At 45.2% G+C, this 15,338-nt stretch overlaps 1 protein-coding gene across 25 annotated transcripts in view, besides 4 other annotated features; it reads right to left on the reverse strand.

Moving 5' to 3' along the window:
- The window catches only part of FGF1 (fibroblast growth factor 1), a 105,893-nt gene that overhangs the window by 49,683 nt on the left and 40,872 nt on the right, over window positions 1–15,338 (reverse strand). The window contains exon 1 of one of the 25 annotated variants that reach the window (NM_001257210.2): window positions 2,253–2,379. The exons of the other annotated variants lie outside the window; for them this stretch is intronic. The gene's annotated coding sequence lies outside the window, so the exon portion shown is untranslated. Of the gene's footprint in view, window positions 1–2,252; window positions 2,380–15,338 lie in introns of those variants that run through there. 25 annotated transcript variants of the gene reach the window in all.
- Window positions 2,276–2,620: a promoter, noted in NCBI's record as "-264 to +81 promoter". NCBI's record gives the evidence for it as "EXISTENCE:reporter gene assay evidence [ECO:0000049][PMID:9719443]".
- Window positions 2,745–3,944: an enhancer, noted in NCBI's record as "CDK7 strongly-dependent group 2 enhancer chr5:142024170-142025369 (GRCh37/hg19 assembly coordinates)". NCBI's record gives its function as "activates an origin of replication core promoter dependent on BRD2, BRD4, P300/CBP, MED14 and CDK7 cofactors, with strong dependence on CDK7, by STARR-seq in HCT116 cells {active_cell/tissue: HCT116}" and the evidence as "EXISTENCE:reporter gene assay evidence [ECO:0000049][PMID:35650434]".
- Window positions 13,884–14,178: an enhancer, noted in NCBI's record as "tiled region #3450; HepG2 Activating DNase matched - State 12:CtcfO, and K562 Activating DNase unmatched - State 12:CtcfO". NCBI's record gives its function as "activates a minimal TATA promoter and a strong SV40 promoter by Sharpr-MPRA in HepG2 and K562 cells {active_cell/tissue: HepG2 | K562}" and the evidence as "EXISTENCE:reporter gene assay evidence [ECO:0000049][PMID:27701403]".
- Window positions 14,047–14,096: a silencer, noted in NCBI's record as "silent region_16472". NCBI's record gives its function as "represses an Ori minimal core promoter by ATAC-STARR-seq in GM12878 lymphoblastoid cells {active_cell/tissue: GM12878}" and the evidence as "EXISTENCE:reporter gene assay evidence [ECO:0000049][PMID:35858748]".

The raw sequence follows: 15,338 nt of genomic DNA on the forward strand, positions 1-15,338 counted from the left end.
TTGAGAAATTAGGTCACTCCCAGGGCTAAGAGGTATTTCAGGCATCTGAATTATTATTCAGTTTCGGTTTACAAATGGAATATGTAAAGAGAATCTTATGAATTTCATGGAGCTGAAAAATGGATCTGAAGGTGGCACTGGAGATGATTAACCTCTCAAATAGACACATAAATTAACTGGTTACTTTTGTAAGTAAAAAGAAAATCAAATGAAGCATGGGAAAACAAAGCAGAAAAGCAAGAGTTAAGAGAACCCTCTTCTAGGAGGAGCACAATAGGGCATCCACCACTGTCAGAGAAGCCAGCTGACCCTTGGCTTCCTGGGTCACCAGATGGGTGCTGTCAGCAGTGACCTTACCTCCAGGACCAGGAATGGCCCAGGAAGAAAAGGTTACATGGAGACAGGAAGGGAAGAGAAGAACTAGGAGCTTTGGTTCCCTCTTGGCTGTCACTTATGAAGTACACTCAAGTTCATTTTCCTTGTCCCCTTGGCCTGGGGGTAATGTCCTGATCAAGGCCTGAGGGGATAGTTCTGTGGGGCCTTTTCAGGGTCAGAAAACTCACATGCCAGCAACTTTGTTTGCATCAGCAAACCCACCTGCATCATGCAAGCACTTGACTGGCCACTGACTCCCAACACAAAGCAGATATCAAGATATGAAGAGGGAACACACAGGGCTTCTGAACTGGTAGGGCTTTGTCTTGATGATCTGGGTAAAGGACAAGAATGGGTGGCATACGGTATGCCAAGAGTGAACAACAGCAGCCACCAAATAGATCTGGCTTTGTGCTGGCTTGAGCCACGTGGGCTCCCAGAGGAGACGCTCACTGAGGTCTGTGAAGGCCTTGCTGCACACCTGCCTGAGAGAGCCAAAGAGCTGTGTGTGTTGGACTGTGGCTTTTTGAAATATGTTTGGCTGGGAGATGGGAAGACCTGGGATCCTGTAGACCAGTGAAGGGGAGGTGGGATCAGGACAGACTCCACTTGGAGCTGAGTCCTAGAAACTGCTCTTCTGTTTTTTTTGTGTACACAACATCAATGAATGCCATGCATAGCCTAGAGTATGGAATAAATCTCTCCTAATAAATATATGGTTGCCTGATTAGGTTAGTCATTATGCTAAACATTTGTTTAGGCAATGCTTACCAGCTAGAAATATTAACAAATAAGGAAAAACCAAGTTTTTCTTAAAGAACTAGGCACTTTCACATACACTATATCCAACGCACCCCAGGAGGCTCCATGGCTTCTGCCTCCTCATTTGAAGAAACCAGCTTGTACTGCCTATCAACAGATTTGCAAAATTGAATGTTGTGATATAATTCTCCCTTGAGGAAAGGGCTAAATCAAGGTCATAACAATTATCGAAGATATAAAGAACTGTAATTTAAAAGACAGTATCACCATATATGCATCAGAAAAAGAGACTACAAATTACACACACACACACACACACATACCCCAAAATATGACAAAAGCCATTCCTGGGTGCTAACAGTAAAGATGATTTTTGTTTTCTTCTTTATGTTTTTCTATTTTTTCCTAATTTTCTACAAGGAGCATGTATTATTTGTATAATCAGAGAAATTATTATTCTGACAAAATCAATTTTAAAATGCTATATATACCTCTTGCTGCAACCTAGGAGGCAATACCCTGAGTTACTGGCTAAAGTTCCTCACTCAAGTCTCCCTCTAGGAAAATAGGGCTTTTCCATTTTGGATTCTATTTGAAAATTTCTCAGTAGGGACCAACAGCTGACCTTAAGTTTCAAAATTGTACCCATGAGAGAGGTGACCGCTAAGGAATCAGGCTTCCTTCCGATCGCTTATTATGCACAGAACATTCTTCTTCATCTGGCCCTCACTTTTTCATGTTTTCTGTCAACAGACTCTTAGTTATAGTAAAACAGATCTACATTTGCATACCAGCTCCACAATTTGCTAACCATGGGATCTTAGCCAAGTCATTTAAAATCCTTGTGCCTCAGTCTGTTCATCTAAACTGATAGGTTTATTATGAGTATGAAATGAAATAATGCATGTAAGCTCATGTTAGCGCAAGCAATAAAAGTTGGCTATTATCATTATCCTATTGGCTTCCCCCAAACATCTTTTCCAATTCTCATGCAGAGAACATTTTCCCGACTTAGCTAGGCTCTGTAATCTCAAGGCTTGTAGTGAGAACTGTGGCCTTCCAGAATGTCCCCAGGAGCCCTAAAACAAAAAAGGAAAGCCTTAAAACATGCTTACCTGCTGGCCCGTGGCTGGCTTCCCTGCAGAAGTGGCAAAGCCCTTCTTTGAGCAGTGAACTCACTCACTAAGGAATCCCCCAAGAGTCTGGCCAGCCGGCCCCACTGCCTGGTTGCCTCACTGAGTTGGTGCTCTCTTTAAGCTGTTCCTTTTGTTTTCTCTGACTCAGAATATCTTAGGTCATTTTGAGACAGCCTTCTCCTCCACACCTTCCCTAATTCTACCTGCTGTTCTGGAAATTTGTCATCATTTTTGACGGCCCGGCATCTGAATCCCCACCCCATGTATTTGAAAGTTACACCCGCCCCCTCATTCCCCACCACACACATACACACGTACATCTTGGTCTGGCTGGACCATTCCTGCAGTGTGATTTGGGGCCACCACACCTTCCCAGTGACTCTGGGAGCAACCCCAGGTTCTCTGAACTCTCCTTCTAGAGTCAATTTTGGTTGCTTACAATTAAGAAACCAAGCCAGCTCCTCCTCATCCTTCATACCTACCTTAGTATAAATCCTCTGGCTGTTGGTTTCCAAAACTCCCTGAGCATGCATGTCATATGATTTAGCATATTCTGTTATGATATTTTACTATAATTGTCTGTTTATCCCCACACCCCCAGACTGTTAGCTCCCTGAGGACAAGGACTAAAGCTGTTTAGCTTGTGATAGTCTCTCCATCATGGGCAGAGTGCATGGCACATAGTAGACCCTCAGCAAATGCCAAATGAATGAACAAGCAACAAAACCTTAGCACACATGAGAGGACCAGAAACAAGCACGGTAGCTCCACTTGGAGAACCAGTTAACTCGCCAGCTTTCTGATATTCTGGCACCACTCCTAGTCGGATTCCAGGGGAAATCAGATTTCTTTTAGGCTTTGGCAAGGAAGAAGATCTTCCAGCAGCATCCTGAGTGGGAGGGTGCATTGTGGGCAGCGTCTTGAAATGGGTGAGTAATCCCCCAGGCAGCTCTTAGCTTTAAACCCTGGCTTGTAATGCAGTCATCTCCTGAAGCTCCCAGCTTAAAATGGAAAGTGGCATTACTCATGGTGAAGGGCAGGCAATAAAAAAACATTTAGGTGGGGCCAGCACAATGGAGTGAGTATTCCCTGATGGCGGATGAGAACGTCTCCACTCTGAGCACTCACAGCCCTGGCAGACGGCTCAGTCATAGCAGGGCTTTTGAGCTACACCTCCGAGTTAGCTCATCACACGGCACCTCACTCTTTGGGGTGCTGGGAGACATCGCATTCCTCAGCCTACAGCAGGCGTGGTGGGAAGAAATGCCCCTGAGTCAATATTGGAAGGTGGTAGAAGGAGTGGATGAGAACCTGGGCTTTGGCATCCAACTGACCTGGGTTCCAATCCCAGCTCTTCTAGTTACTAGCTCTGTGACTCCAAGCAAGCCCTCTAACCTCTCTGATCCTCAAGTTCCTCATCTGTAAAATGAGTAAAATAATAGTACCTACTACAGAGGCATTGGGATAAGTAAGAAAGACTATCCCTACAAATCCTTATCACAATGCCTGGCATGTAATCAACATTCAGTAGGGTGACAGCTGCTGTCATTGACAGAGTTGTTCTTTTACCACCTTCCTCCAACGGCCTCCATTACTCCTCCATCCTTTCTGTTTTATTTCTGTGTTAATCTCACTCAGCTTCCACACCCTTACTTCCTCCAGAAGTCATCCTTTACCTCTGATATTCTCCTGAGCTCAGGCCACAGCCCAACCTCCCTCCACAGTCACTGCTCATTTCTATCTTGTCTTTCTCTCCCTTACTTTGTTTTTTTGTTTTTTTTGTTTGTTTGTTTTAGACGGAGTCTTGCTTTGTCGCCTAGGCTGAAGCGCAGTGGTGCGATCTTGGCTCATTGCAAGCTCTGCCTCCCGCGTTCAAGTCATTCTCCTGCCTCAGCTTCCCAAGTAGCTGGGACTACAGGCGCCTGCCACCACACCCGGCTAATTTTTTTGTATTTGTAGTAGAGATGGGGTTTCAGTGTGTTAGCCAGGATGGTCTCGATCTCCTGACCTCGTGATCCGCCTGCCTCGGCCTCCCAAAGTGCTGGGATTACAGGCGTGAGCCACCGCACCTGGCCTTTTTTTTTTTTTTTTTTTTTTTTTGGAGACAGAGTTTCACTCTGTCACCCAGGCTGGAGTGCAGTGGTGCAATTTCAGCTCACTGCAACCTCTGCTGCCTCAGCCTCCGAAGTAGCTGGGATTACAGGTGCCTGCCACCGTGCCCAGCTAATTTTTTTTTGAGAGGAGACTTGCTCTGTCCCCCAGACTGGAGTGCAGTGGCGCGCAATCTCGGCTCACTGCAAATTCCACCTCCTAGGTTCAAGCAATTTTCCTGCCTCAGCCTCCCGAGTAGCTGGGATTACAGGCCTGTGCCACCACGCCCGGCTACTTTTTGTGTTTTTAGTAGAGGCGGGGTTTCGCCATGTTGGTCAGGCTAGTCTCAAACGCCTGACCTCATGCTCTGCCCGCCTTGGCCTCCCAAAGTGCTGGGATTACAGGCGTGAGCCACTGCGCCTGGCCCCGGCTAATTTTTTATAGTTTTTAGTAGAGACGAGGTTTCACCATCTTGGCCTGGCTGGTCTTGAACTCCTGACCTCGTGATCTACCTGCCTTGGCCTCCCAAAGTGCTAGGATTACAGGTGTGAGCCACTGCGCCCGGCCTTTTCTCTCCTTTTCTATGTGTCTGTGAACCTGTGTGCTAAGACCTCACCACCTGATGTCTGACCCTGTCATCGTTTCTTCCCCACTTCAGAATCTGGGACCTGGCCCACTGTGAAGCAAAATGTATTAGGATAAATCAATCGGAGTTGAAGGAAGCCTCATGGACAGATTGGGCATAAGGTCATAAAACGATCAGGGCTCAACACCAGTTTTCAGCACCCAATACCAGTTTCCAGGGCCCCAGTATAATGTACACGCACCCACAGAAAGAAAAGTGGTGAAGAGAGGGAGGGGAAGGGTGGCAGAGTATGCAACCTCCAAATAAGCCAATTTGGCATATCGATTATTTTTAGTTGAAGACAATTGAGAAGAAGCAGATAAGGCTCTCTGCCATTTCTCATTTGCTTAAAAGCAGAGCATAAATTTGTGAAGTTGCCCCCTCACCACCAGGAAAGACTGAAGTTAACCACTGGAACAAACCTTACCAACTAGCCCTCCTCTCTGTTCATTTCTCCCATATGTTTACTTTCAAAATTTGCTGCTCTAGAAACTTGAAGTCCTTTTCCTTTGTCTTGTCACTTCTCTAAAAATCTTTCGCCCTTCTGTTGAGCTGCTATATAAACCCAAGTTCTCACCACCGCGTTGAGGTAGTCAGTACTGCGTGCTCCCATGTGCACACACAATGCACATGTTCATAAACTTGTAGTTCTCCTCTTAATTTGTCTTTTGTCAGTCTAATTTAAAGGGCCTCACCAATGGGCCTAAGATGGTAGACCACTCCACTCCTACCTGTTTAGATGGGACCCAAATCTAAATACTAAATTCATTTATGTTTCATATACACTTTATATACCTAGTCTGAAGGTAGTTTTATACAATACTTATAATAATTTTATGCATGAAACAAAGTTTTGACTGCATTTTGACTTTGACCTGTCACATGAGGTCAGGTGTAGAATATTCCACATGTGGCATCATGTCAGTGCTTAAAAATTTTGGATTTTGGGTTGGGCACGGTGGGTGGGATCAAGCCTGTAATCCCAGCACTTTGGGAGACTGAGGTGGGCAGATCACTTGAGGTCAGGAGTTCGAGACTAGCCTGGCCAACATGGTGAAACTCCATCTATACTAAAAGTACAAAAGATTAGCTGGGCGTGGTGGTGCGCACCTGTAATCCCAGCTACTTGCGAGGCTGAAGCAGGAGAATCACTTGAACCCAGGAGGTGGAGGTTGCAGTGAGCCTAGATCGTGCCACTGCATTCCAGTCTGGGTGACAGAGTGAGACTCTATCTCAAAACAACAACAACAACAACAAAACTTGGATTTTGGAGCATTTTGGACTTAACGATTTTTTGGATCAAAGATTCTCAGCTTGTACTGTGTTCACACCAAGAGAACAAGTGTCTTCACACACACGTATGTTTATTGCAGCACTGTTCACAATAGCAAAGACTTGGAACCAACCCAATATCCACCAGTGATAGACTGGATAAAAAAAAATGTGGCACATATACACCATGGAATACTATGCAGCCATAAAAAAGGATGAGTTCATGTCCTTTGCAGGGACATGGATGAAGCTGGAAACCATCATTCTCAGCAAACTAGCACAAGAACAGAAAACCAAACACTGCATGTTCTCACTCATAAGTGGGAGTTGAACAATGAGAACACATGGACACAGGGAGGGGATCATCACACACTGGGGCCTGTCGGGGGTTGGGGGGCTAGGGGAGGGATAGCATTAGGAGAAATACCTAATGTAGATGACAGGTTGATGGGTGCAGCAAACCACCATGGCATGTGTATACCTATGTAACAAACCTGCATGTTCTGTACATGTATCCCAGAACTTAAAGTATAATAATAAAAAAAAAGTGATTTGTCCCCCACCAACCAAAAAAAAAAAAAAAAAAAAAAAAGAACAAGTGTCTTGAGGAGGAATGGAGAGAAGCTTTTCTCAAATGAGAGACCTGAGAATGTTTGTCACTGGAGAATAAGCCTGCAGGGAAAGGGACTGAACGGTTTGAAGATGGGGAGAGAATTTAATCGATAGGACCAGGCCCTGGAAGAGGTCGGAGAGAATCAGATGAAGAATATGGATGAGATGTATGTGCTTATTAATGCATGGGCAGGCCTAGACCTAGACAGATCCAGGAAAACAATAGCAGGACGGCCGAGAGAGGAAACAAGGCGACCAGGGGCGAAGGGACTACTTTTATTTTTAATTTAAGAAAAACAAAAAGGAAAATAAGAAACACCTGTGTGCACTTTACTCTGATTTAACAAATGTTCATGTTTTCTGGAATTTACCTCAGATCTTTATTTATATAAAAGAAATAAAATGTTAGAAAGTTGTGATCGCTCTTGATTCCCTTTTTCATAACATTTCTATCCCCCTTCCTTGAGGCAACTGCTCTGATGAATTGTGTGTGTGTGACACACATCAACAGCTTGCTCCAGATGGATGGTTCTGCAATTTGCCTTCATTTGTTCAATATTATTTCTGGGATTATTCACTTTCATACATTATTTATATTTATTATCACTACTATAAGTACATTCTCATCTTGCAAATAGCCTACCTTGCATTTATGTATAATCTCTAGGGGTGGACATTGTTTTTTTTTTTTGAGACGGAGTCTCGCTTTGTCGCCCAGGCTGGAGTGCAGTGGCGCGATCTCTGCTCACTGCAAGCTCTGCCTCCCGGGTTCACGCCATTCTCCTGCCTCAGCCTCCTGAGTAGCTGGGACTACAGGTGCCTGCCACCACGCCCGGCTAATTTTTTTGTATTTTTAGTAGAGATGGGGTTTCTCCATGTTAGCCAGGATGGTCTCAATCTCCTGACCTCATGATCCGCCCACCTCAGCCTCCCAAAGTGCTGGGATTACAGGTGTGAGCCACCACGCCCGGCCGGACATTTTGTTTTTAATTTTTCACTATTACCAAAACTGCTGCCATGATCATCTTTATCCATGGGGAGAGATGCTTTTTACTGTCTACTCTTTTAAACTTTCTGACTTTTGTTTTACCGTATACACTTTTAACAGTTCTCTTAAGTAAGAAAAAAACAATTTTCTTTAAAAACCCACAGATTGGTGTTTGCCAAAGTATGACCCAAGGAACAACAAAATCAGAATTACATGAGACATTTGATCACATCTTGGCCTTTTGGCTAAGATCAAGTGTAGTCCATGGGACATTTGTTTTTAAAATGCAGATTCCTGGGCCCCACCTCAGCTCTAGTGAATCAGAATCTTCATGGGTCAGGCCTGGGAATCTACATTGCAATAAACATCCCCAGGTGATTTTTAGGCATCTTCCAGTTTGGGAGGCACTGGATAGACAGATGTTTCCTCTGAGAAGGAGAAGGGGAAAGTGGAGTAAGGGCGTGCAGGGGGAGGGATGGAGATGACATTGACTGACTGCTCTTCTATGCCAGGCACCATGCTAGGGCGTGACATTTGTGTTACTCATTCTCCTTTAAAGAAGAGAGAGGGAATCCATGACATTTATCAAGATAACATTGCAAAAGGTTCAGAAAGACAGTCAAGGTGAACATGGTAGTTTAAAACGAGGTCTGTGAATTCTGATAACCTGGCCTCACCACTCACTTAGTGGCTGTGTGCCCTTGGGAAGTTATGTAGCCTCTCTGAGCTTCAGTTTCCTCATCGGCAGAAGGGTAGTAATTACAGTACTTACCTCCTAGGAATTTTAAGAAGATCAAATGATTTAAGGCTTCAGTAACCTGCTTAACCCAGAACCTAAACTTCTTAAGTGGCCAATAAATGATGATGGCAGGGAGAATGATGCTCATGACTGTTATTGTTTGACCCCTTTATAATCAATGCATATACACTTTATATGTGTGTGTGTGTATATATACACACACACACACACTATGTATACTGTGGTCTCATTATTTGAAACTATAGCAGTAGTTAAAGTAGCTGGATATTGCTGTAGTATTAATTGATAGAAATCCGAAACATGCAGTCCCCATTACTCTATTATTCTCACAGGAAAATACGAGCAACAGTCTTAAGCAGCTGGTTCCAGAAATGCATTCAGGAGGGACATGGAGATTTCCTATGGTGGGGTGGGGAGCAAGTCAGAAGGGTGAACATTTTAAAATTTAAGTAAAAATATATAGTTTAACACTCATACTCATTCCTAGCGTGCACACAGCCCAAATCAACACCCACTGAGAGCCAAGTGTGTTAATGGGAGGGTGGTGCAAACGCAGCTTCAATGTCTCCTCCCTATTCGTGCTTTTGCTCAGAGAGAGGTGAAGGAAGGCGGCTGCGAGGGCTGGGGATCCTGCCTGAGTACCGAGAAGGGTGCAGTGATAACCCAGGGGCACCTGGTATCTTTCCTCCCTGGGTCTCCACCTCCTTCTTTTGGGTAACCTTCATCACCCACGGGAGCCTGAACCCACCACGACTTGCCTAGGAAAGTGGGCAAGACCCCTGGCTCTGAGTTCAGATTTGAATCTCATCTCTGCCTCTTAGGAGCTGGGTTGCTTAACCTTTTTACCTTTTTATTTGAAATTCATAGTCTTTATTGTTTGAGTAGTTTCAGGTTCCAGCAAAACCGAGCAGAAAGGACAGAGAATTCCTCTTCCCCAGTCCCACCCCTAAACAGCACTCCCCACCAACCACACTGGTCCATTTGTTACAATCAATGAAGCTATGTGACACATCATTATCACCCAGGGTCCATAGTTTATTTTAGGGTTCACTCTTGTGTTATACCTTCTATGGGTTTTGACAAGTGTATAGTGACGTATATCTACCATTATCGTTTCCTACAGTGTAGTTTCACTGTCTTAAAAATCCTTCATGTTCTACCAATCCATCCTTCCCTCCCTCCTAACTCCTGAAAACCACTGATATTTTTACTGCCTCCATAGTTTTGCCTTTTCCAGAATGTCTTATAGTGGACATCATGCAGAACATAGTCTTTTCAGATTGTCTTCTTTCATTTAGTAATATGCCTTTAAAATTCCTCCATATATTTTTTGTGTCTTGGTAGCTCATTTTTTTTTTTTTTTGTGCTGAATAATATTCCACCATGTGGACACTTAACCTCTTTCCAGCCTCAAATTTCTGGGCTGTAGTACAGGGGTAATAGGTGGCCTAATCTGAGAGAATTTGTAATAACGATAAACATGAACGTTTATTAAGTGCTTCGTACCATGCGCTCTATTAAATGCCTCTTTCTGCACTGCCTCACATAGTCCTTTCTGAACGCTGCAATGGAGGAATTATTAGCACTTCCATTTTCCAGACAAAGAGACTCAGACCCAGAGAAGTTAAATAATTGCTCAGGGCCACATGTCCAGGAAGGAATGGGTCTGGGATTTGAACCCAGACATTCTGAAGCCAGGTCTTATTATTTGGGCTATAACCTCCTGGGAAGGTTCTTAACAGTGTTTGCACATAGTAAAAACATGTTGCCAAATGGTGCTTCTTCTTGTTAACGTTTTTGAAGTAGAGCCATTTAAATTGTAAGGTCGTAGTTCTTCTCTAATGGCTGAGGATGAAGAAACACAAGAGGCGCTGGGACATTCAGAAGTCACCTAGTGCTATGGGGCAGGTGAGTTTTAGAACTGGACCTAGAAGCCTTGGGTGATGGAGGCTCTGCACTGCTCTGAAGAGAGCGCTGATTCATTACTTACTAGGCCCTTCCTGTGTAGGTCATCCCATTCAAGGCCCCTCACAAGGACCCTGTGAGCTAATTACCCTGAAGACCCCCTTTAGGAAACAGAAGGGCCCAGGAGCCCCATGGTGTTCTTTGCAGTCCCCTTGAATCTTCTCCCCACATTGCCTGTGCCCACCCCAGGCCACTACTCTCCATCTCAGCCCTGGGCCCACACGTGCAGCCTGGCACACATCACAGCACAGAAGCAGCCCAGTAGTGCTTGCGTCTGTCTGGGTCTGGCTGGAGGAGTGGGTGCCTCGGCGGTGGCCGCAGCCCTTCCTCATCACCTCGTCATAGTGCACACGTGTGTCCACGCCAGGCCCCGGGCGGGCAGGCTCATGCTGGGCACATCTGCTCACTCACTCCCTGTCCCCTCCACTTCCTTCTGCCCTGGATTTCCAGACAGAGTCAAAAATGGGTTCACATCAAATAAGATTTGTTTTCTTTCAGTGTCACTTTCCATTTATAGACAGCCTTCTCTTGGGAGGCTCCATCCTCCTTCCTCTGTCTCGTTTTCTTCCCTGGGTATTTGGGGATAAACTCTTGGTGGCTGTTTTGAGCCCTGTGGTCGGCAGCCCAGCCAGTCATTCATGCAGAGCGTCTCCAGAAAGCCAGCGGTTACCTTTACAGGAGTTTATGCTCATTTCTGTGGCCTCTGAGACCTCTGTGGAGCTGTGCCCACATATCGAGTGTGAATTGTTAAAAAGACACATCCGACCTGAGCCAGCAGGGTCCTCCTCCACCAGCTCAACCTGGCGAGGATGACGAGGGGGATAATTACAACAGTCACGGCAGCCGGTAGTTGCGGCACCCTCCTCTAAGTGCCTTACAAAAATGGACTCACTTATTCCTATGAGGTAGGTGCTGTTCTGATTCCTTCAGGCAGAAGAGGAAAGGAGCACATAGAAGTGAAGGCTGTGGTCCACCAGATGCTACATGGGGTCCAGCCCTGCTGACCTCTCCAGCCCGGCCTCCCAGTCTCCCCTTCTAGCTTTGTGCATTCGCCATACCAGCCTTGATTTGGCCCCTGGGATACGTCACGTGCCTTCCTGCCACAGTTCCTTTGCACACACTCTCCTCACTGCCTGGACCACTGTTCACTGCCCCCTACAGCGAATTAACCCTGACCCATCTTTCAGATCTCAGCTGTGACTTCTTCAGGGATGTCCTCCTCTACCCCTCAGCTCTCATTGTGCTGCCTGCCTGTCTTCTACGACACCGGTTGGGGCTTAAATTCTACTTTTATTTTTGTATTTTCTGATTAAGTCAGGCTCTCCCTCCAGACCATGAGGGCAGAGGCTTGAAAGTTCCACCTTGGGCCTGGTGCCGTGGCTCACGCCTGTAATCTCAGCACTTTGGGAGGCTGAGGTGGGTGGATCACAAGTTCAAAAGATCAAGACCAGCCTGGCCAACATGGTGAAACCTCATCTCTACTAAAAATACAAAAATTAGCTGGGCGTGGTGGCGTGCACCTGTAGTCCCGGCTACTCGGGAGGCTGAGGCTGGATAATTGCTTGAACCTGGGAGGCAGAGGTTGCAGTGAGCCAAGATCATGCCACTGCACTCTAGCCTGGCAACAGAGCGAGACTCTGTCTCAAAAAAGAAAAGTTCCACCTTGTATGTAATTCTAACATCTCATTTACCATGCTGGACTGACATGATCTGTTTATTCATCTATCTCATCTTTTGGTCTGTGAATTTCCTGAGGGCAGCATCCAGGTCTTTTTCTAACACAGTGCTCAGCTCAATAAATATCTGGAGAGTTAAAATGCATTTAAGTGAACAGCATAATTTGGGAAAGGGCACATGAAATTTGGGGACTTTTGATGCAGCAAGCTCACAAAATACAATCCTTTTGTACCACCTTCTTGGAACTCAATGATTTTAGAGAGAACGTTAGCTTTAAGAAGGCAAGTTCACTTATAATGAACTGCTCGATAGTTCATTGAACTTTGGATAGTAGAAAGATTCTTACTTTTCCCAAAGAAATATCAAGCTGTGGTTATAAAGCCAAGATAAGTGAGGAAGAAAGGATGTCTGCCCCTTCGAGGTTCATCTGAAGTTTTAGCAAAAGTGGGGCATAAATAACTAGTGGAATCTTGGACATTGTGTTGCGATTTGATACCTTCCAGCCCTTGGCCTTGTGTCCTTTCCTTATCTGTCTTGGATGACATTGCCTGGCTCTTCCACCAGGGCTGCCATCTGCTGTCTTCGACTCCATGAATGTTGTGGCCTCGTTGGAAGGAAACACTCCCTCTTTAGGGTTGGCTCCTTCCAGGGGCCAATCTCCCTTTGCCTGGCGAGTGGGCCCCAGGCATTCACACGGGACTGAGAGAGAGAAAGAGGGAGAAGGGGCTTCTCTTCTACCTGCAGGAGGAGCAGGCAGGGGAGAGCAGAGGGCTGCAGGCCTGTGGCTCACCCAGCAGGGTTGATGAAGATAGAGCCAGGTAACCGCAGGCTCCCACATCCAAACAGGGCCGGGCCTCAGCTCTGGCCCACCCCAGCTCCAAGGAAAACAGTCAGTTCTTTGGAAAAACTGTTTTCGTTTATGCTGCTTCCTCCTTCCTATCATAACAGATTACAAGCATGTTCCCTGGAGGACCGAATGGTGCCTTTCAAGAAGTTAGGAAGGAGCCATTGCTGAGTTGAGAGGATTAACTTGGTTCAACGTGGTAATAGCAGCACAGGATAGATTAACTGGGAATTTGAAAGAACATGATGGAGGCTTCGGTAACCCTTTATGACGCTTGTAAAATTCCAAGCATTTTGCAATATTAACACTGCCTAGGTATCACACATAATAAGTGAAGCGGCCCTTCCCTCATCTCGTCCACCATTGAGACCTGCTCCCAGCACACTCCCCACCACACCATAGGTACTCAGCAAATAGTTGTTAAATGAATACAAGAACTATGAGGCTGACCTAAGGTTCTGACAGCTTTCCAGAGTGGACAGAAAACGTCAATCTCAGCCATACTTTGCTCACAGGCATTGGGTAATGACACATAGACCTGCTTGCTGTTCTCCTTTGGCTTCTAGATCTAGTTCTTGCTTATCCAAAATTACTAATTCCCGACAGTTAACAAACGTAACTGCAATCCCAATAGCTTAACTCAGATCTAAGAAGGGTGTTTTTAAAAACTAGTCATCAAGAAATCCTTCTTACAGAGGAGGCAGAGCCCAGAGTAACTTGAAAATATTGCACAAATATTGAGAAAGAACATCTTGGGGTTTCAGTGGCCACAGCAGAAGAAGCTGAAGGATGTGCTGATATTGGAACGGGAGAGCCAGAGCAGCTTTCCAAACACTGAAAACCCGACTTATCCTGTGGGCGGGAGCCAGGCTGGTGCAGGGGAGCCCGCAGCCAGAAGAGGGCGCTCCGAGCTCAGTGTGCTGGCCGCGCTGGTGAGATCAGAGGACCCTTGCAAAGAGACTGTTTACACTTCAGCTTTGTTTTTCCTGAGTGTTTTTGCGTTCTCTGCAAGAGTGAGGGAGGGTTTTCCTCACTCTGTGCCAAAGAATGATCTGAAAATATAATTAAACTGATGACTTCACATATTAAATACCAAGTCCTAGGAATATAATTGTTTTTAAAATTTCTAATGGACTTAAGTCTTTGATCTCCCTGAAATCTGTGAACAAATTTCCCACATCATAACTCTTTTAACACATCTAAATGTGCCCTCAGGAACCAGTATCTTCTTCCAATATTGACTCTAGCCATAGAAAATGGATGGTTAAACCGAGAAGAGCAGACTGTTACCTCTCTGAGAGTTATTTCTACCTGGTCCATCTTATCAGGTTAATAAGTGTTACTATGTATAAATATAGTAACCCACAATATCTTGATTAAAAAAAAAGCTGTTATTCAGTTGGGATACTTTAAAGCCTTGTTTTCCATTTACATGCCTCCTTGGAAATCTATCTTCTTCCCCACATTTTTCATTCCCAGTCCATAAGGGAAGAGCAGACCAATCCAAGAAGCCCTTCAAGGAAAACAGCATACTTATGTGTAGACCCCGTGACTGACAACTCCAGCATTAAGAATTTGTCCTATAGAAGGACTCACACAAGTGCCCAAACATCAATGCATGAAATTCACTGCAGTGCTGTTTGTAATAGTGAAAATTTGGAAACAATGTTGCTTCAGAATGGAGTGATAAAATAAGTTATGGGTCTAAGCAAATAGCAGGCAGCCATAAGAAAAAGAGCACTAGACACACATGTACACATATGAGTGGGGAAAAGGAAGCCTCAGGACAATATATCCAGAATTATCCCATGGCTTAATTTAAAAATCATATATCTATGTGTAGACACATAGATAGAAAACTGAAAAAATGATTACCCCTGGGGAGTGGGATGGGGTGGCTGAGGAGGAACTCACATTTTATTTTGTTACTGCAGGTATTTTTTTTTATTTTTATTTTTATCTTTTTTGGGACAGAGTTTCGCTTTTGTTGCCCAGGCTGGAGTGCAATGGCGAGATCTTGGCTCACTGCAACCTCCACCTCCCAGGTTCAAGCGATTCTCCTGCCTCAGCCTCCTGAGTAGCTGGGATTATAGGCATGTGCCACCACGCCCAGCTAATTTTGTATTTTTAGTAGAGATGGGGTTTCACCATATTGGCCAGGCTGGTCTTGAACTCCTGACCTCAGGTGATCCACCTGTCTCAGCCTCCCAAAGTGTTGGGATTACAGGTGT

Source organism: Homo sapiens, chromosome 5, assembly GCF_000001405.40.
Source record: "Homo sapiens chromosome 5, GRCh38.p14 Primary Assembly".
Taxonomy (NCBI): domain Eukaryota; kingdom Metazoa; phylum Chordata; class Mammalia; order Primates; family Hominidae; genus Homo; species Homo sapiens.